Genomic DNA, 17,973 nt, shown 5'->3' with positions numbered 1-17,973 from the left:
CCCGCTTTAAGTCTTCAAGTTTATATTTCCTTCAATTTTCATAAAGTTCCATTAATTCTATCAATTTATCTTTTGTGGGGAAAAAAAAGAAAAACAAACAAACAAAAAAACAAACCTCTTATCCAGATAAAATCAGCCAATTCTAAAAGATGCTTCTAACAACAGAGTCTAAGACTTCAGTGGTAAATATGTACTTAAAAATATATATGCTAAAAAAAAGTCTAAAAATTGAGAGATGTCTTCTTGTGCCTAAAAATAACCTTTTTAGCAAAGTAGTAATAAAGCATTTACTCTCTGGCGGAAGAAGAATATATTTAATAGAATGTTTTCTATCTGAATGATGAAGAAACTTATTTATTTCTACATAAAAGTAGGTTCAACTCAAATGAGTTTATTTATTAGGAACTTTTGAAACACTGAGGTTGAACAGAGAATGGGAACTAGACAGATCATTTCAGCATAGATGGTTACTTTCCCTCTTGCCACAGACTCTGCAGGAAATGTCAATTACTGCTTTCTTTCTCCATTATGTTCAATCCTTTCCAAGGCAGTCAGAGAGCTCTCTCCCTTCCCATTAAGAGAGGATCTTCTCCGGTAGCCTTTGAACTGGGAAGTGGCTTTAGTATTTGCAAGTGTAGATATACAAAAGCTCTTCCTCCTCTTACCAGGTTCATCGGAAGAACCAGCAGCAGGGCCCTGGCTGTTTTCTGGATCTGAGACGGGAGGTGCCATCTGCGGTTTTTGTCTGGAGGACACAGTTTCTTTTATGGGAGACATACTTTCAAATCCACTGCTGTCAAATGTACATATTGTTCTTCTTTTGGCTTTTTGGGAAGTGGAAGGAAGTGGAAGTGAAATCCATACAAGACCTTCGTTTTCTAAATCCTTCTGTAGCCTCGTGCTACGTCGCACTTTGGTTTCACTATTTCTCCTCTGAAAGGTTTGCTCAATGGCATCAGACAAATCTTTAAACAGTTCAGAATTTTCTAAACTAATTTCTACAGAGCTGCCCACACTGGAGGATGGTGTGTGATTTCCATTTTTTTCCAAATGTAAACTTCGACCATCAGAATAACACATGGAACGTCTTCTATCTTTCCTGTCTCTGCAACTCACAACACTGCTACTTTCCATGGGTTTTCTTCCCAAATCCTCACTCTGGCTTTTAGATTCTTTCGTATTTTCAATTAAGACATCTCCTAAACAATGACAGTCTTTTTGTGAATTAGGCATTAAACGATTGCATTGCAGTTTTCCTTCTGCAGCTCCTAAGAAGTCATCCTTTCTTTCACACTTTATGTTTAAATCTGGTGAAATTTTAAAGAACTGACAAAGGTTTTCTGCATTTTGACCACCAGCAGAAAATTCTTGACCCTGCTGCAGGGTCAGAGCAGGTTTGGGACTATCTGATGCCACACGTTCTTCAGTTACAGAAGCACAAGAAACAGGACTGTCAGTTCCAGCTTTTGGTTCATTTTCACTTTCTGACTTATTTTTTGCTTTTGGAATATTTTTATTTTCATTAATGTTCATTATATTTGTATTTGGATCTTCATCAGAAGTAGCATTGCCAAGCGATGAGGAACTTTTTATATAAGAGCAGAATTCAGAGACATCATATTTATCATAGCCTTGATGCATATGCAAATCTGGGTCATGACGCAAAAGATCCTTTCTTTTCACTGGATTTTTAGGAGTCTTCACTTCTTCCAGTTTGCCATTTGAACTGAAATAACCTATGGGCATGTAAATAGGTTTAAATCTAATTAAAAAGTAACAATGGGAATGAACTTTACATTTATTAAATAATCAGGTGACCTGTTTTGTTTTTGTGTTTTAAGCATTCACAAGACCCACAAATGTTACACTGTGCTTGCCCTTCTGTCATCCTCCTCCTCCTCTTTTAGTTCTCCAACGATCCACAGGTTAAGAAAATAGGTATTCAACGCATGAATTAATAAAGCATATAACCTCAAACCATGAAAATGAGAACAGCATCTGAAACAGCTTCCTCCATTCTAACACCCTTCCCGTGCTACAAGGTCCATGAGTATGAGGCAGTGACATTTCCCATTTCCCTGAAAATGAATGACTGCAAATGGGCAACATTATGCTTCTGAAACTTTCTACCAATGTATCCTCCGAAACAGGGGAGGGAAAATTTGGAATTCTGGGGTATTTGAGGACTTATGAGCTAAAACAGCATGCCTGAAGACACTCAGGTCTCATGCCCTTTGTTAAAAATTACTATAAAGTGCACTGTACTCCGAAACAGAACCAGGTTTGTTTCAATATTATAAAAATCGACCCTTAATTCCTCAGCCTTTGACTAAATATCCTCCAGGAAGACACGTGTGGGTAGGCTTTCATGTATTTCTGGCACATCAGAGGTGGAAAAACCATCATCAGATTGGTAAGTAACACAGCCCACATGAGTTCAGGCTTTATGAGTTCTAAATCTTAGAACTAACTATTAGATGCAATCTTTTTTGATACCTCAGATGATATTTTTAAGTGGCCAGTCAAATGAATAAAGTGTTTTAAATAAAATAAAAACTAAAAAAAGTATAAAACATAAGTTGAGCCAAAAGTCTAAAAAAACAATGTTTCCATTTAAAAATATATCCATGATTAAGGTACTTAAAATCATGTCACTTAAAGCTAGAGATTAAACAGGTCAGTGCCCACTCAGTGCCAACCAATGTTAGTTGGGCTCTTTAGACAGCTTTAAAAATTGATATTTATGGCCGAGCACAGTGGCTCACGCCTGTAATCCCAGCACTTTGGGAGGCCGAGGCAGGTGGATTACCTGAGGTCAGGAGTTTGAGACCAGCCTGGCCAACATGGTGAAACCCCGTCTCTACTAAAAATACAAAATTAGCCAGGCATGGTGGCGCGTGCTTGTAGTCCCAGCTACCTGGGAGGCTGAAGCAGGAGAATTGCTGGTACCCAGGAGGTGGAGGTTGCAGTGAGCCAAGATTGAGCCACTGCACTCCAGGCTGGGCGACAGAGTGAGACTCCATCTCAAAAAACAAACAAACAAACAAAAAGATATGTATTTCGCATAAAATCCAACATACTAGAGAAGGAAGGTAAAGAAGATATAGGGAGAGAGGAAAGGAAAAAGAGAAAGAGATAGAGAAGATAAAGGAAGCAAGGAGCTGAATTGCTTTAAACCCATGTAGCAGGTGATACCACTGGTTACAGACAAAAAATGCTTTAGGTATTTTAAAAAATAAATTCTCTAATACGATACAACATGGAAAATTTTACTACAGTCACTGTTTAATCATCTTTTGAAAAACTGTTAAGAACTAGAGATGTAATGAAAATAAGACTTAGTTTCCACTCTCAAGGAGACTGAAGTTTTAGGGAGCAGGGGAACATAGAAAATAGATCATCATAAAACTAGGTGATGGAAGTATGTTGCAGAGTATTCCTGGAAAAACAGACAATACAGCAAAATCTTGGAAGATAAGCAACATTAGGTCAGATTAAAGGTAGAGTGGTGGATGCCCTGTCACAACACAGCCTGTGAGAAAGCATGGCAGGAGAAGAGTGTGAGCCAGGGCGTATGCGACAGAGGGGTGGCTGTTTATTTAAACTCCTGTGCTATCCTAATGTTAAGCAGGACGCAGAAGCCAGGAGTCAATGGTGGCATGTACCTCATTCATCCTCAAGTCTATTATTAATCTTGTATGGTATACCGCAAATAGGAGGTAGGCTATAAATATCTGATGATTGACAAAGGTAGCCATTTGAAAAATGATTCTATACAAATCAACACACCAAATGGACACACATTATCATTTTCAGGCAAGACAGCGTGGCTCTTGCCTGTAATATCAGTAGTTTGGGAGGCTGAGGCAGGAAGATTGTTTGAGCCCAAGAGTTTGAGACCAGCCTGGGCAACTCAGGGACACCCATCTCTACTAAAAATTAAAAAAAAAAAAAAAAATCATTATTATTTTCAGCAAGATTCAGTCCATTTAAAATTTGGGCATTAGAAACCAGAAACAATTCCAGTCCATTTTTTATCTACCCCATATATCAACTGACTTGATAATAAAATAACTTTCAAGGTAATCAAGCTCAATTTATATGTATTATTTTTAGAAAACAGTAGTGCCAACTCTAACAAAACATCATTGTCCTTAACTCATATAAGGTATACATATTACTGAATCATCACCTCATTGACTTTTTTTGTTCCTTTTTTTTTTAAGAGATGGGGTCTTGCTATGTTGCCCAGGCTGGCCTCAAACTCCTGAACTCAAGCAATCCTTCCGCCTTAGGCTCCCAAATGGTTGGGATCACAGGCAGGTGCCCCAGCTCTCGTTCACTTTCAACGATGGACTACACCACCAAATGGAATTTATTTTCACAAAATGCTTTAAAAAACAAAAGGAAACAGGATGCACAGAAATTATTACTGATATTATATGCAAAATCTTGTGTCTCGGTTTTCCTGGGGAAAGGATCCAGTTTCCATCAGATTCTGAAAAGGATCTAAGTCACCTACAAGTTACACGTGACTGTTTCCTCCATTTGAAATCCTCATGGTAATGTGAGGAAACATTGCTTTTTAAAATTTACGTACTCTTTACATAGTGAATGGGAAAAAAGTGAAAAAAGTAAAATAGCAACAAAGAGGGTGAAGAGAAAAGATAAAATATAACTACCAGGAAAATGTCAGGATACCTGAACCCAGTCTTCGGATGCTCGGAATGGAAGGTGTCATCTCAGGGACTTCAGGCAGCTCGGGAATAGGACTGAGGAGGGGCTTCTTAGAAGCAATGTCTCTTTCCCCATATAAAGATTTCTGAACACTTTTCTTTCCCTTTCCTTTCTTCTTTCTGCAACTTTTTAAAACCTGAGAAAATGCATTAAAACATTGCAATTGAGAAAGATGTAGCACCATGTAAAATTTTGACCCTTTAACTAGTTATTTTTATTTATTTTTGAGACAGGGTCTCACTTTGTCATCCAGGCTGGAGTGCAGTGGCACAATCTCAGCTCACTGCAACTTCTGCCCCTGGGCTCAAGCAAGCCTCCCATCTCAGCCTCCCAAGTAGCTGGGACCACAGGTACATACCACCACGACTGGCTTTTTATTTTGTATTTTTGGTGGAGATGGGATCTCACCACGTTGCCCAGGCTTGTCACAAATTCCTGAGCTCAAGAGATCCTCCTGCCTTGGCCTCCCAAAGTGCTGGGATTACAAGTGTGAGCCACAATGCCCAGTCTGACCCTTCAACTTCTATAATATCTCTAATTATTGTTCATACAGTGCTTTATTGCATAGATAACTTTTATATTTCATTTAAAGTTGTAAGCATCTAAATCGAGGGTAGGAAGTCAGGTAACTTCCACAAAGTCAAATAAACTACAAAGCAGGATTCAGTTTATAAATTGTATGGTAGCTTTCTACATTTCCACAAGGCACTTGCCAAAACTAGGGCTGGATAAATGAAAAAATATATAAGATGCTTTAGAACTGCACAGATATAATGTCATGAGATATCTGTAAGACGCACAGTTGTGATGACTCAGGATTAACCTAGTGTGAATTACATACTGCAAGCTATGGGAGACTGCTTTATGCTCCCAGGTCCGGATGAAGAAACAGGAGGTGTGTATGTAAAATATGAAGAAAACACAAAGCTAGCTGAACCTGCAGATTCAAACAACAGATGACTTAATCAAGATTCAGTCAAACAAAATGGATTTTAACAAGCACAAGCAGAAGATGGAAGACAAAGGTCTGACATTAATTGACTGAAAATGTAGGTTTCCATAAAAATTAAAAGTCGCTTAATAATATCCGGAATGGGGTATTACATTCAATTCTGAGTAACGTATCAGCAACCAAGAAATAATGTTTTATGTTTTTAAAAAAGTTTCATATGGAAAAGACCTTGGGGAAATGCTGTACTGAAATACTAGAAAGACAGACTGTTATGGGCGAAAGGAATGAAATATATTCAATGTGACAATGTTGAAGAGAACCAGAATTTAGGGCCAACATAAAACATATTAACAATTAACACAGGCCAGGCGTGGTGGCTTACGCCTGTAATCCCAGCACTTTGGGAGGCCGAGGTGGGCAGATCACAAGGTCAGGAGATCGAGACCATCCTGGCCAACATGGTGAAAGCCGTCTCTACTAAAAATACAAAAATTAACTGGGCGTGGTGGTGCGCACCTGTAGTCCCAGCTACTCAGGAGACTGAGGCAGGAGAATTGCATGAACCAGGGAGGCAGAGGTTGCAGTGAGCCGAGATCGCGCCACTGCACTCCAGCCTGGCGACAGTGAGACTCCGTCTCAAAAAAACAAAACAAAACAAAACAAAAACAAAAACAAACATCTGGAAAGTGGAATTCATTCACACATTTATTGAGACTGCTGTGTGCCAGGTAATAACTTGCCAGGTGTGGGATCTGGAAGCAAAGAGGATGTATTCTTCAAGGAGCTGCTGGTGTAAAGTAAAGGAGTGACCATACACACGCACCATGACTGGCTGTGTGAACTGTGAAGGTGGGCACCTGGCCTGTAGGAGGTGTTCAAGATCGGCTCCACGGAAAATGTAATGTCTAAGTCAAATCTCAAACAAGCAAGGGCTGTTTTGGCCTACTATGGGGGCGATGCAGAAAGGCTCTTCAAAGAGAAGGGAATGCCATGTGCATGAACTCAAAGTGAGACAGCACAGCACAGGTGCAGGGCTGCATGCAGCAAGACATGGCCCGGCCCGTGGATCCATGCAGGAGTGGCAGGAGCAGAGCCCTTGCCAGTGACTTGAATGAAAGCAATGAAGGCTCACTGCATGGTGACTTCGAGAGTGTCAACGTTTGATCTTAAATTTAAGAAAGGTCATTTGGGTGACAGCACAGAATATATAGGTGAAACTAATGGTGAGATTCAAGAGTACAGAAATGGCACAAAACTATGTGCTCCTTGAGAAATCTATAGATATCCTGTGAAAACAAAACATTCCACGGAAAAATAATTTTAGAACTGTACAAGATGAATGTTCCTCCTGGTGATTTACAGTGTACATTTAACATGAAATTCTATGAGAAGTCCACAGTATAAATAATCTCTATACACATTAGGAAAATGCTGGGTTAAATATTTTTCCAGTAAATATTTTTTTCATGGAACATCTGTTGACATTCCGTGGAACAGTTGGGGAAATGCTGGCTTGGTCAATGAACCTGAAAGCCAAGAGAAAAGAAAAATCTTAACTTGGGGCTCACAGATAAGTTGCAAAAAATAAATAAATAAAAAAAATGGCCTCTGGTGGCAGATACTTTGGGTTAAAGTCTTGACTCTGTTACTTAACTGTTTTATAACCCTGGGCAAGTCAACTTTCTGTACCTCATTCTCCTCTGCAAAACAGAAATCACAACAGCACACTCCACATAAAGCTGTGGGGAATATTAAATGAGTTGACATGTGATAGAGCTGGTTAATGTAGGGCCTGACCCATGGTAAAAGCTATCTTGTTCTTTCAAATTCTTTTCCATTACTTGAGAGTTAATATGAGGAAAAACATGACAACTTTATTTTTTTTAGCCAGGCATGGTGGCACACACATGTAGTCCTAGCTCCTCAGGAGGCTGAGGCAGGAGGACTGCTTGAACACAGGAGGTTGAGGCGGCGGTGAGTTATGATTGCACCATTGCACTCCAGCCTGGGCAACAGAGTGACCCTTTTTAAAAGATAGAAAAAAAAGTTTTAATTGACAAAAATTGAATATACGTATGGCATACAACACCATATTTTGATATATGTATGCACTGTGGAATGATTAAATCAAGCTAATGAACATATCCATTACTTCATATACTTTTAATTTTTAATATTAAATTATGTTATTAGTATTATTGTAGGGCATAGACCCAGTGTGGTCAGTTAATACACTGTGGGCAATGCCACCAGATTATAATCGCCAGAATAGCTTCTGATATATGGGGAAAAAAAAAAAAAAAAAGATCCCCTCTTCACATGATTTTGGAAGTTATGTCCCTGGATCTACAACAGTGCCAAGCACACAGTGGCTACTCCACAAATACGAATGAATGAATGAATGAATGGTCAAAGAAGTACAGTTAAGCTTACATAAAATTTGCTCAACATGATTGAAAGACTAAATTTCTGTTTTTTCATGGTCATGGGCCAAGAGAAGTATATTACCACCCCACCTCTCCCAAAAAAGAACAATTAAAGCACCTCAGGTTTGTCTGTCTGTCCTGAAAATACATCTGGCAGAGCTGATCTTAGTCATGAGAAGATTTCATCAGCAAAGGCCACAAACTTATCAAAATCTGAATTCACCACAGTACAAAAGCCTTGCTGATAGTGTAATAACAGAAGAAGTTGTATATGCTTGGAACCCCCGGGGGAAGCCATTTGATCAATAAATGGTTAGGGTGGATTATGGCTTAGAATCGCCAAAGAACAACTGAAGGGATTGTCCCTAAAGCAATTTCGTTTACTCCAAAATCACTGATTCCTCTTCTCACACAGTGAAGGAGGTCAGGAGGCAGAAGTAAATGTTTATCTTTTGTCTTATTTGCATAATTAAGACTTCTTTAAATTATTTTCAGAGAATAGCTTTAAAATTTTTAAAAACTAATTCAGGCCAGCACGGTGGCTCATGCCCTTAATCCCAACACTTTGGGAGGCCGAGGTGGGTGGGTTGCTTGAGCTCAGGAATTCGAGACAAGCCTGGGCAACATGACGAAACCCCGTCTCTACCAAAAATACAAAAATTAGCTGGGTGTGGTGGTAAGCCATGTACTCCCAGCTACTAGGGAAGCCTGAGGCAGGAGAATCACTTGAGCCTGGGAGGCGGAGGCTGCAGTGAGCTGAGATCGAGCCACTGCACTCCACCTGGGTGACAGAGAGAGACTCTGTCTCAAAAAAAAAAAAAAAAAAAAAAAAAAAATTCATGGACATGGCAACAAATCACACCATATAGGAGAGGTTACGGTGATCAAGCACACACTTGCCTGCCCCTGGTGCTTACTTATCTGCTGGCTCCACTTTTAGCTCTTGCAGTTAGCTCCCTCTCTCTGATAAAGGGCTCATACTGCTATATTTTTAACTTTTGATTATGGAAAATTTCAAACACCCAAAAAGTACAGAACCCCATGTACCCATCAGCTACTTCAACAATTACTAGCACATAGAAATCATGATTCATCTATACTCCCCTAACCCCAGATTATTTTAAAGCAAATCCCAGACGTTACACATCATTTCATCTGAAAATCCTGCAGTGTCTTGAAGAGTTAAAGGTTCTTTTTCTATTAGAGACAATTACAAATATGGTTCAACAATAAAAAGAACTACTGATACACATAACAACCTGGACAAATCTCCAGAGAATTATGCTGAGTGAAAAAGCCAGTCCCCGAGTTACACAGTACATGACTCCATTTGGGTAACCTTTTCGAAATGACAAAACTGTAGGAATGAAGAAAGATTAGTGGTTGCCAGGGGATGAGGCGGGGTTATGGGTAGGAAGTGGATGTAGCTACAAAGGGCCATGGGAAAGCTGTCTGGATCTCGGCTGTATCAATATCTTGGCTGCGACCCTGAACTATGGTTTCGCAAGATGTCACAATTGGGGGAAACTAGGTAAAGGGTACTTGGGATCTTTCTGCATTACTTCTTAGAAGAGTGTGTGTATCCAAAATGATCACAAAACTTAAAATGTACACCAGGGATAGAGGCTCATATCTGTAATCCCAGCACTTTGGGAGGCCTGGGGGGCGGGGGGGGGGTGCAGATTACCTGAGGACAGGGGTTTGAGACCAGCCAGGCCAACATAGTGAAACCCCGTCTCTACTAAAAATACAAAAATTAGCTGAGCATGGTGGTGCACACCTGTAGTCCCAGCTACTGGGGAGGCTGAGGCAGGAGAATCACTTGAACCGGGGAGGAGGAGGTTGCAGTGAGCCGAGATCGTGCCACTGAACTCCAGCCTGGGCGACAGAGCGAGACTCCATTCCAACAAAACAAAACAAAACAAAATGTAATTCAACAAAACACAAAAACCATGATGGCAATTTTCCCTAGTATCTCCTCAAAGTTCAAATTTCTCCCTTGGCCCATAATTTCTTTTTCTAAAACAACTGTTCTAATCAGGACCCCAATAAGATCTCCACACATACCATTTGATTCATGTCTTTTAGTCTCTTTTATTCTATGGCTCCTTTTTTACTTCCCTTGACATTTATTTGGTGAGTAAATTGAGGCATTTTTCCTATAGAATTAGCCAAGTCCTAGATTTGGCTCACTACAGTAGGTGAGTCTATGTTCCTCCATGTCCTATAAATTGGTAATTAGATCTAGAAGCTTGATTAGATTCAGTTTTGATGGGCAAATTTGAATACAATTGTATAACCAACAAATTAAAAATTGCATATAGCATGGTGGATGAGAGGTTTTGACATATGTACACATTGGGAAATGATTAAACTAACATATCCACCACTTCACATAATTATTTTATGGCAAGAACACTTACAATGTCATCTCTTAGCAATTTTCCCATATACATTATTATTTCCTAGTCACCATGCTGTACAACAGATCTCCAGAACTTACTCATCCTAACTGAAACTTTGTACCCTTGAACCAACATCTCCTCATCCCCCACCACTCAAGCCACTAGCCCCCCTGACAACCACCATTCTATTCTCAGCTTCTGTGAGTTTTTTTTTTTTTTATTTTTTATTTTTTAAAGATTCCACATGTAAGTAAGATCTTCTTGTCTCTCTGTGCCTGGACTATTTTACTTAACGTAATGCCCTTAAGGTCCTTCTATGCTGTCAAAATGACAGGATTTCTTTAAGGCTGAATAGCATTTTGTTGTGTGTGTACACACATATTTTTTCTTTATCCATTCACCTGTTGATGGATACTCAGCTTGAGTCTGTAACTTGGTTATCGCTCTTTGATATACTGATTTCCTTTGGATACATACCCAGAAGTGGGATTTGCTGGATCATATGGTAGTTCTATTTTTAATTTTTTGAGGAACCCCCGTAATGTTTCCCACAATGGCTTGTGAAAATGGATTATTTGGAGTCACTGTGTCATAAACAACTAGAGTCCAGAGACCAGGGGAAAAAAAGCACTTGGGACTGTAAGACTAAATTTAACTACCACCATCACTCACCAGAGTTTACCAGCTCCCCAAAATTTTGCTTAGGGCCAGTGAGTTTTTTTTCTAAATAATATGTAACATTTCTTTTTCTACTAAAAACCCCAACTTTCTACGTTCTTAGGACATATCAAAGACCACCTCGGTCTGTGTGTTTGCCCCAAACTGCAATTACGTTTTCCCAAATAAAACATTTTGTTTAGAGATTCAGTTCTATATTTTTAGTTGACTTTGCCAATCAAAACAGGCTGTAGCAATTTACATTCCTATTGATAGTGTACAAAGGATTCCCTTTTCTCCATATCCTCTCCAACACTTGTAATCTTTCATCTGCTTGATAATAGCCAGTGATATCTCATTGTGGTTTTAATTTGCATTTCCCTGATGATTAGTGATGTTAGCCATTTGCATGTCTTTTGAGAACTGTCTATTCTGGACCTTTGACCATTTTTAAATTGGTGTGTTCTTGCTAATGAGCTGTTTGAGTTTCTTATACATTTTGGCTATTAACCCCTTATCAGATGTATGGTTTGTAGTTACAGTATCTTCTCCCATTCTATACGGTGTTTCTTTCCTCTGTTGATTGTTACTATGTCACATCAGCCTTTTATCAAACGTTTTAAGCAGCTTTGTTGAGCATTTCTTTTATTACCTGAAATTCTTCTATAAACAACTTTTCCCTCATCAACTATTTGTTTACCTGAAATAGAGCTCAAATTTTATTTTCCTGTTATCAGAAAAATGAGTGGGTATCCTAGCAAGCTTCTAAAGTGTCCATTAATTAAAAAAAAGTAATAAACTTATGTGTTATTTCATGATTGTACTTCAATGCTTTGCAATGCTGATGATCATATCTGGTCAGTGTAAGTCCCTTGAAGATGGATTTGTGTCTGTTAACATGACACCAGTAGTTTTTTTTAGCATCCTTCCTTGTACTCTGGTACAGACCCAACCAGGCTCACTTATTAAATTTGTTGTTGTAAATCTGAAAGCAGCCATTTCACCAAGGGACCCTAACCCCTTTTAACTGGTATGTCTAATGATAATCTATGCACCAGGGATGCTCATGAATTTTAAGCTTTATCAATGGATAGAGCTGGACAATTCTTTTAAATGGAAAATAAAATGAGTTTCTACTCTTATTTCCAATTCAAATTTAGTCTTCCAAAGTTTTAAATTTGTTGGATTTAAAAATATATCTTTTGTCTCTGAGTGCACATCTTGATTCTTAATGATGGGAAAAATTGCTTATTTGCTTTATTCTAAATTCAGTGCTTCTATTGAGTGTTTCATACTGTTTATAATTTCTTTGCAGTTATTTTTGTCCTTAAGATTTATCCCCCTTATAGGGCCAGGCGCAGTGGCTCACGCCTGTAATCCCAGCACTTTGGGAGGCCGAGGTGGGCGGATCACGAGGTCAGCAGATCGAGACCATCCTGGCTAACATGGTGAAACCCAGTCTCTACTAAAAAATAAAAAATAAAAAATTAGCCGGGCGTGGTGGCAGGTGCCTGTATTCCTAGCTACTCGGGAGGCCGAGGCAGGAGAATGGCATGAACCCGGGAGGCGGAGCTTGCAGTGAGCCGAGCTCACGCCACTGCACTCTAGCCTGGGTGACAGAGCAAGACTCCATCTCAAAAAAAAAAAGATTTATCCCACTTATATTCAAATTTCTAGGTTTGAAAAAATTCTTAATGAAGTTAAGCCACCAACTTGACATAGTAAGAATTTGTCAAATTTTGCTTTCGCTTATTAGAGATTGTTCTCTTTCTACTAGTTTTAGTTTTGTTTCATAGTCAGGTAAAACATTTAAATGGTCCCACAATCAAAACTGAAAAACAGTACACACTTAACGAAGTCTAGCTTGCATTCACATTCTCTCCTGTCTCCTCCCTTCTCCCTATAGCCAGTTTTTTATTTCTCTTTGGTTTATTCTTCAACTGAAAAATCAAAACTATATGTGTACTCTACTTTCTTAGACAAAGGGTAATGTATTAGTTTGTAAGGCTACTGTAATAAAATGTCACAAACTAGGTAGTTCAAACAACAGAAACTAATTTTCTCCCAGTTCTGGAGGCTAGCAGTGCAAGATCAGGGTGTTGGCAGGGCTGGTGTCTCTTGGGGCCTCTCTCCTTGGCCTTCAGATGGCCACCTTCTTGCTGTGTCCTCACATGGTTATTTCTCAATGCACACTCGTCCCTGGTGTCCTTATGTGGGTCCGAATTTCCTCCTCTTATAAGAACACCAGTCAGAGTGGATTAGGACCCACCCTATGGATCTCATTTTAAATTAATAACTATTTTAAAGACCAAATCTCCAAATACAGTCACATTCTGAGATCCTGGGAGTTAGGACTTCAATATATAAATTTGGGAAGGGACACAATTCAGTCCATAACCAGTAGTTGACCACATATATTGTTTTATAACATGCTTTTTTCATTTTAACAGTAAACACAGTCATCCCTCAGTATCTGTAGGGAAATTGGTTCCAGGACCTCCTGTGGATACCAAAAATCTGCAGATACTCAAGTCCCCGACATAAAATGGCACAGTATTTGCATAGAGCATATGTAAACTTCCTTTTACAGCATTATACTGTAAAAATACAGCATAATAACTATGCTTTAAAGCATCTCTAGATGACTTAACACCAAGTACAATATAAATGCTACATAGTTAATATGCTGTATTTTAAAATTTTTATTTTTTTAATTGTTGTATTGTTATTGGGTTTTTCTGAATTTTTTTTTTTAAGTAATATATTAAGAAAATACAGATGGGGTTGTGCTATGTTGACCAGGCTGGTCTCGCACTACTGGCCTCAAGCAATCCTCCAATATCAGCCTCCCAAAGTGCTGAGATTACAGGTGTGAGCCACCTCACCCAGCCCTGAGTGTTTTTGATTCAACCAACCACAGATGCTGGACAACAGTATATAGAGGGCCATCTGTGTCCCCTTGGCATCACTGTATAGAAGTGTATGGAAGTTCTCTTCACAACTTTCTACAGCTGCCTAATACTCGCTTTGTGGAAACACCATAGTTTTTTCAACAAGTCTCATATTGATGAGCATATGGTTTGCTTTTAGTCTTTTGCTTTACAAAGAATGCTGCAATAAATAAACATATATTTTTGTATTTTGATCAGTGGATCTTTGAGATGGATTCCTAGAAATAGGCCTGTTGGGTCAAAGGACAAATGAGTATTTAATTTGGCCAGATACTGCCAAATACTCCTCCACAGAGGTCTGCTTTAGCAGAAAATGTATGAGTGTGCCTGTTTGCCCCATAGCCTTACCACGTGAGTATGCTGTCAACTTTCAGATTTTTGGTAATCTAAAAGGTGAGAAACGGCATCTCAATGCACGTTACAGCTGCAATTCTCTTATGATGAGGAAGTCTGAACATTTTCTTCCTGTGCTGAAGGTCATTTTCATTTCAGTTTTGTAAATGTTTTGTTATCTTTTGAAGACTGTTCCTTTCTAAGTAATTTAGAAGCTCTTCAAATATTAGTGACATTAATCCTTGGTGTCTGATATGAGTTGCAAATACTTTTCCCAAGCTTGTTCTTTGTCTTTTAAATTTTCTTATGGGGATTTTTTTCCTTACGCATGCTCCATGCTGTATGGTTCAAAAGATATCAAATTCACCAATCCTTTGCCCTCACTGTTTCTGGTTTTTGAGTCACACTTTGGGAACTTTCTCCATTTCTGGTTTATAAAGGAATTTACTCTTGAGGATTCTAATGCTACTTCTGGTTGAGAAGTGGCATTTAATCTAATTTTAGTTATCTGTCAACATCTTGCTATGAAAGATGAAAAAACTGCTCATTTAAAACCAAACCTGCCTCTTTTCTATGTTAATTGTGGCTCTTCAGTTGGTAAACATTGAACTTTTATATTTCTATTTCTTTTCATTAAATTTTAAAATATATATCTTGAATGTCTCATGATAATGATGATAATGACCACAAAGCTTACTATGGCCAGGCACTGTTCTAAGAGTTGAGCATGCATGAATTCATTAAGATTCAGAAGCTTCTAACATCCATTTCCACCACTGTTTTACAAACAAACAAACACACAAACAAAACAGAGTCCAGAATTTTACCCAGCATTGCACTGGAGGCAGGAATGAACCCAGGATTTAAACCCAGGGGTCTGGTCCAGAGTCTGCACTCTTACCAGCACACCATTAGCCCCCTTGTTTCTACCTTAACTCACTTTTCACCTTCTGCTATTAACTACATTTTCCTATCATTAGATTGTTAATACTCACATTGTCCTGCACAACAACCAAGTTGTTAAAAGCTTCGTCCTTAGTTGAAAACAAATAGCATCTGTATTATTATGACTGCAAACATTTTTCACGGCTCTGCCAAGTACAGCTTTCATACTCTTTTCTTCTCCTCCGGGCCCCTTGAGGGAGATGATTCCTAGCACTATAAAATCTACTTTTCCTTATACTGCATTATTGCTTGAAATCACAGTAATGTTTCCTTCATATTTACTCTAAAACTTTTATATAGACTTTTATTTGAAATGGTATATAATTACCGTTTTTTTCTTATGTGACATACCTTTCATACCATTCATTCTTTCAATCACAGGTCTTTTCCGTTTTTTAGCTCCAGCTCCTTCTCCCTGCTCAAATTTGGACTGGTTGCTCTTCTAGGCTGGCTGAACAGCTACAACCAGCGATTTCCCTTTGATTGCGCTCTTGTATTGTTAGATCCGTTGTGTCCTGAATTCTTAAGCTTAGTTCCTCATTTTGCTAGAGTTCCTCCTCCAGTAGCATCCAAAGAAAAATAACTTTCTGGCTGGGCATGTTGGCTCAAGCCTGTAATCCCAGCACTTTGGGAAGCTGGGGTGAGAGAAGTGATTGAGCCCAGGAAGAGTCTGAGACCAGCCTGGGCAACAAGGTGAGACCCCCCAACCCCCCGCTGCTTCAAGAAAGTAAAAAAAAATTAGCCAGCCAGGCGTGGTGGCTCACGCCTGTAATCCCAGCACTTTGGGAGGCCGAGGAAGGCAGATCATGAGGTCAGGAGTTTGAGACCAGCCTGGCTAACATAGTGAAACCCCGTCTTTACTAAAAATACAAAAATTAGCCGAGCATGGTGGTGCGTTCCTGTAGTCCCAGCTAACTGGGAGGCTGAGGCAGGAGAATTGCTTGAACCCAGGAGGTGGAGGTTGTGGTGAGCCAAGATCATGCATCACTGCACTCCAGCCTGGGCAACAGAGCAAGAGTTCATCTCAAAAGAAAAACAAAAAACAAACAAAAAACACTAGCCAAGCGTGGTGGCGTGCACCTGTAGTCCCAGCTACTCAAGAGGCTGAGGTGGGAGGATCACTTGAGCCAGGGAGGTCAAGCATGCAGTAAGCAGTGACCACAGCACTACACTCCAGCCTGGGTGAGAGTGAGACCTTCTCTCAAAATAAAAAGAAAAGAAAAAAAGAAACACTCAAATGTCTTTTATTTTTTCCTTCACACTTAATTGAGACTGGCTGGGTGTAGAATACTCGGTTGAAATTTTCTTCTAAGCTTTAAATGAACTCTTGTATGATTTTGTAGCTTTCCGGCTATTGCTAGTCTTGATGCCACTCTGGTTCTTATTTCTCTGTAGGAAAAGCCCACTTTCCTCATTATCCTTATTGTTCAGTTTCACAGTTACAGGCCTACCCCCTGGCCCTTCTTCATTGTACCAGTTATTCAGTGGGCGCTTTTAACTTGAAGACTCCTTTCTTCAGTTCTAGGAAATCCTCTTATTTGAATAATTTCTTCCATTCTATTTTTGGGAAATCCTCTTCTTTTATTTGGATGACTTCTCCCATTCTATTTTCTCCTTCTTTTTCCTAAGAGTCCTATGGTGTCTCCTAGATTCTCGTTTCCAGTCTTTCTTTTGCTCTATCTTCTGGGAGACTTTCCTTAACTTTAATTCTTTTGTCCAACTACTAAATTTTATGTTTTTGCAATTCCTTTTTCATAGTATCTCCTTACTTTTATGCAGATGATATTTTCTTAAATTGGAGTGGAGTATTTATGTATGTAAAATTTCCTTCTATTCCTTGAATAACCTATTTCTCTGAAGTCAGTTTTTAACCTTATTAACATTGGTCTTTTCACTTTCATGCTATTTGTTCTATTCAATTGCCTTGTTTCTTATTTAAGATTGGGTAAGTTGGTATATAGGTTTCCTCTGCTTTCCAGCTCAGTCTCTTTCCTGCGTGGAAATCCTACCTAGGGTGGGGCAGAATACTGGAGGGTCAACTGTCAGGATTTGCATTAGGGCAAGAGCTGGCTGTCAAGACTGTGGGACTTTCCAAATGCCAGAATGAGGGCTTTAATCTAGATGACAACATCTGTTCTGAGCATCAGGGTGGGAGGAGGCTGGTGTGCCAACTGGTGCAAACTGTCCCACGTATAGGACTTCAATTCATTTCTCTGTTTTTCAGTACCACCTCTCACTCTCACCATCCATCGTACCTGCCAATTCTGGGCCAGGGTCTCCTGGGATTCCCATGAACAGGCCGGCTCCCAGCTCCTCTCTAGCTCCCTCCTAGCACATTCTGAACTGTAAATCTTTCCACCTTTTTTTATCTGTCAACATGCTCCCATCTGCTTGGTCTTCTAGAAATTCATTGAAGGCTGTCGTCGGCTTCTCAATACCCCTCCTCATCCCTTTCCTCCTCTCATTGCTATTCTAAGTGTATTCCTTTTAGTACCTAAATGGTATTAATTCAGCAAGGTCCTGGGAGGGATTGCAGTGACTTAATGCTCAATCCTTTTTGTACTTTC

At 39.4% G+C, this 17,973-nt stretch overlaps 1 protein-coding gene across 3 annotated transcripts in view, besides 2 other annotated features; it reads right to left on the bottom strand.

Annotated features, from left to right (window-relative positions):
- Window positions 1-328: 328 nt before the first annotated feature.
- CDCA2 (cell division cycle associated 2) overlaps window positions 329-17,973 on the bottom strand; it is a 48,987-nt gene continuing 31,342 nt past the window's right edge. The window contains exons 13-14 of one of the 3 annotated variants that reach the window (NM_001317906.1): window positions 4,702-4,873; window positions 329-1,736 (exon numbers count right to left, since the gene is read on the bottom strand). In NM_001317906.1, the coding sequence (NP_001304835.1) occupies window positions 508-1,736; window positions 4,702-4,873 (1,401 nt within the window). In that variant the 3' untranslated portion in view covers window positions 329-507. Of the gene's footprint in view, window positions 1,737-4,682; window positions 4,874-17,973 lie in introns of all 3 variants that reach the window. The other 2 variants (NM_001317907.1, NM_152562.4) reach the window with 2 other exon arrangements.
- Window positions 459-753: a silencer, noted in NCBI's record as "tiled region #1118; HepG2 Repressive non-DNase unmatched - State 15:Elon". NCBI's record gives its function as "represses a minimal TATA promoter and a strong SV40 promoter by Sharpr-MPRA in HepG2 cells {active_cell/tissue: HepG2}" and the evidence as "EXISTENCE:reporter gene assay evidence [ECO:0000049][PMID:27701403]".
- Window positions 16,330-16,830: an enhancer, noted in NCBI's record as "H3K27ac hESC enhancer chr8:25348932-25349432 (GRCh37/hg19 assembly coordinates)". NCBI's record gives its function as "activates a minimal SCP1, AML or CMV promoter by ChIP-STARR-seq in primed H9 embryonic stem cells {active_cell/tissue: H9 hESC(primed)}" and the evidence as "EXISTENCE:reporter gene assay evidence [ECO:0000049][PMID:30033119]".

Source organism: Homo sapiens, chromosome 8, assembly GCF_000001405.40.
Source record: "Homo sapiens chromosome 8, GRCh38.p14 Primary Assembly".
Lineage (NCBI taxonomy): Eukaryota > Metazoa > Chordata > Mammalia > Primates > Hominidae > Homo > Homo sapiens.
Note: the sequence above shows the minus strand (reverse complement) of the source record. Positions and strands in the feature narration are given on the sequence as shown.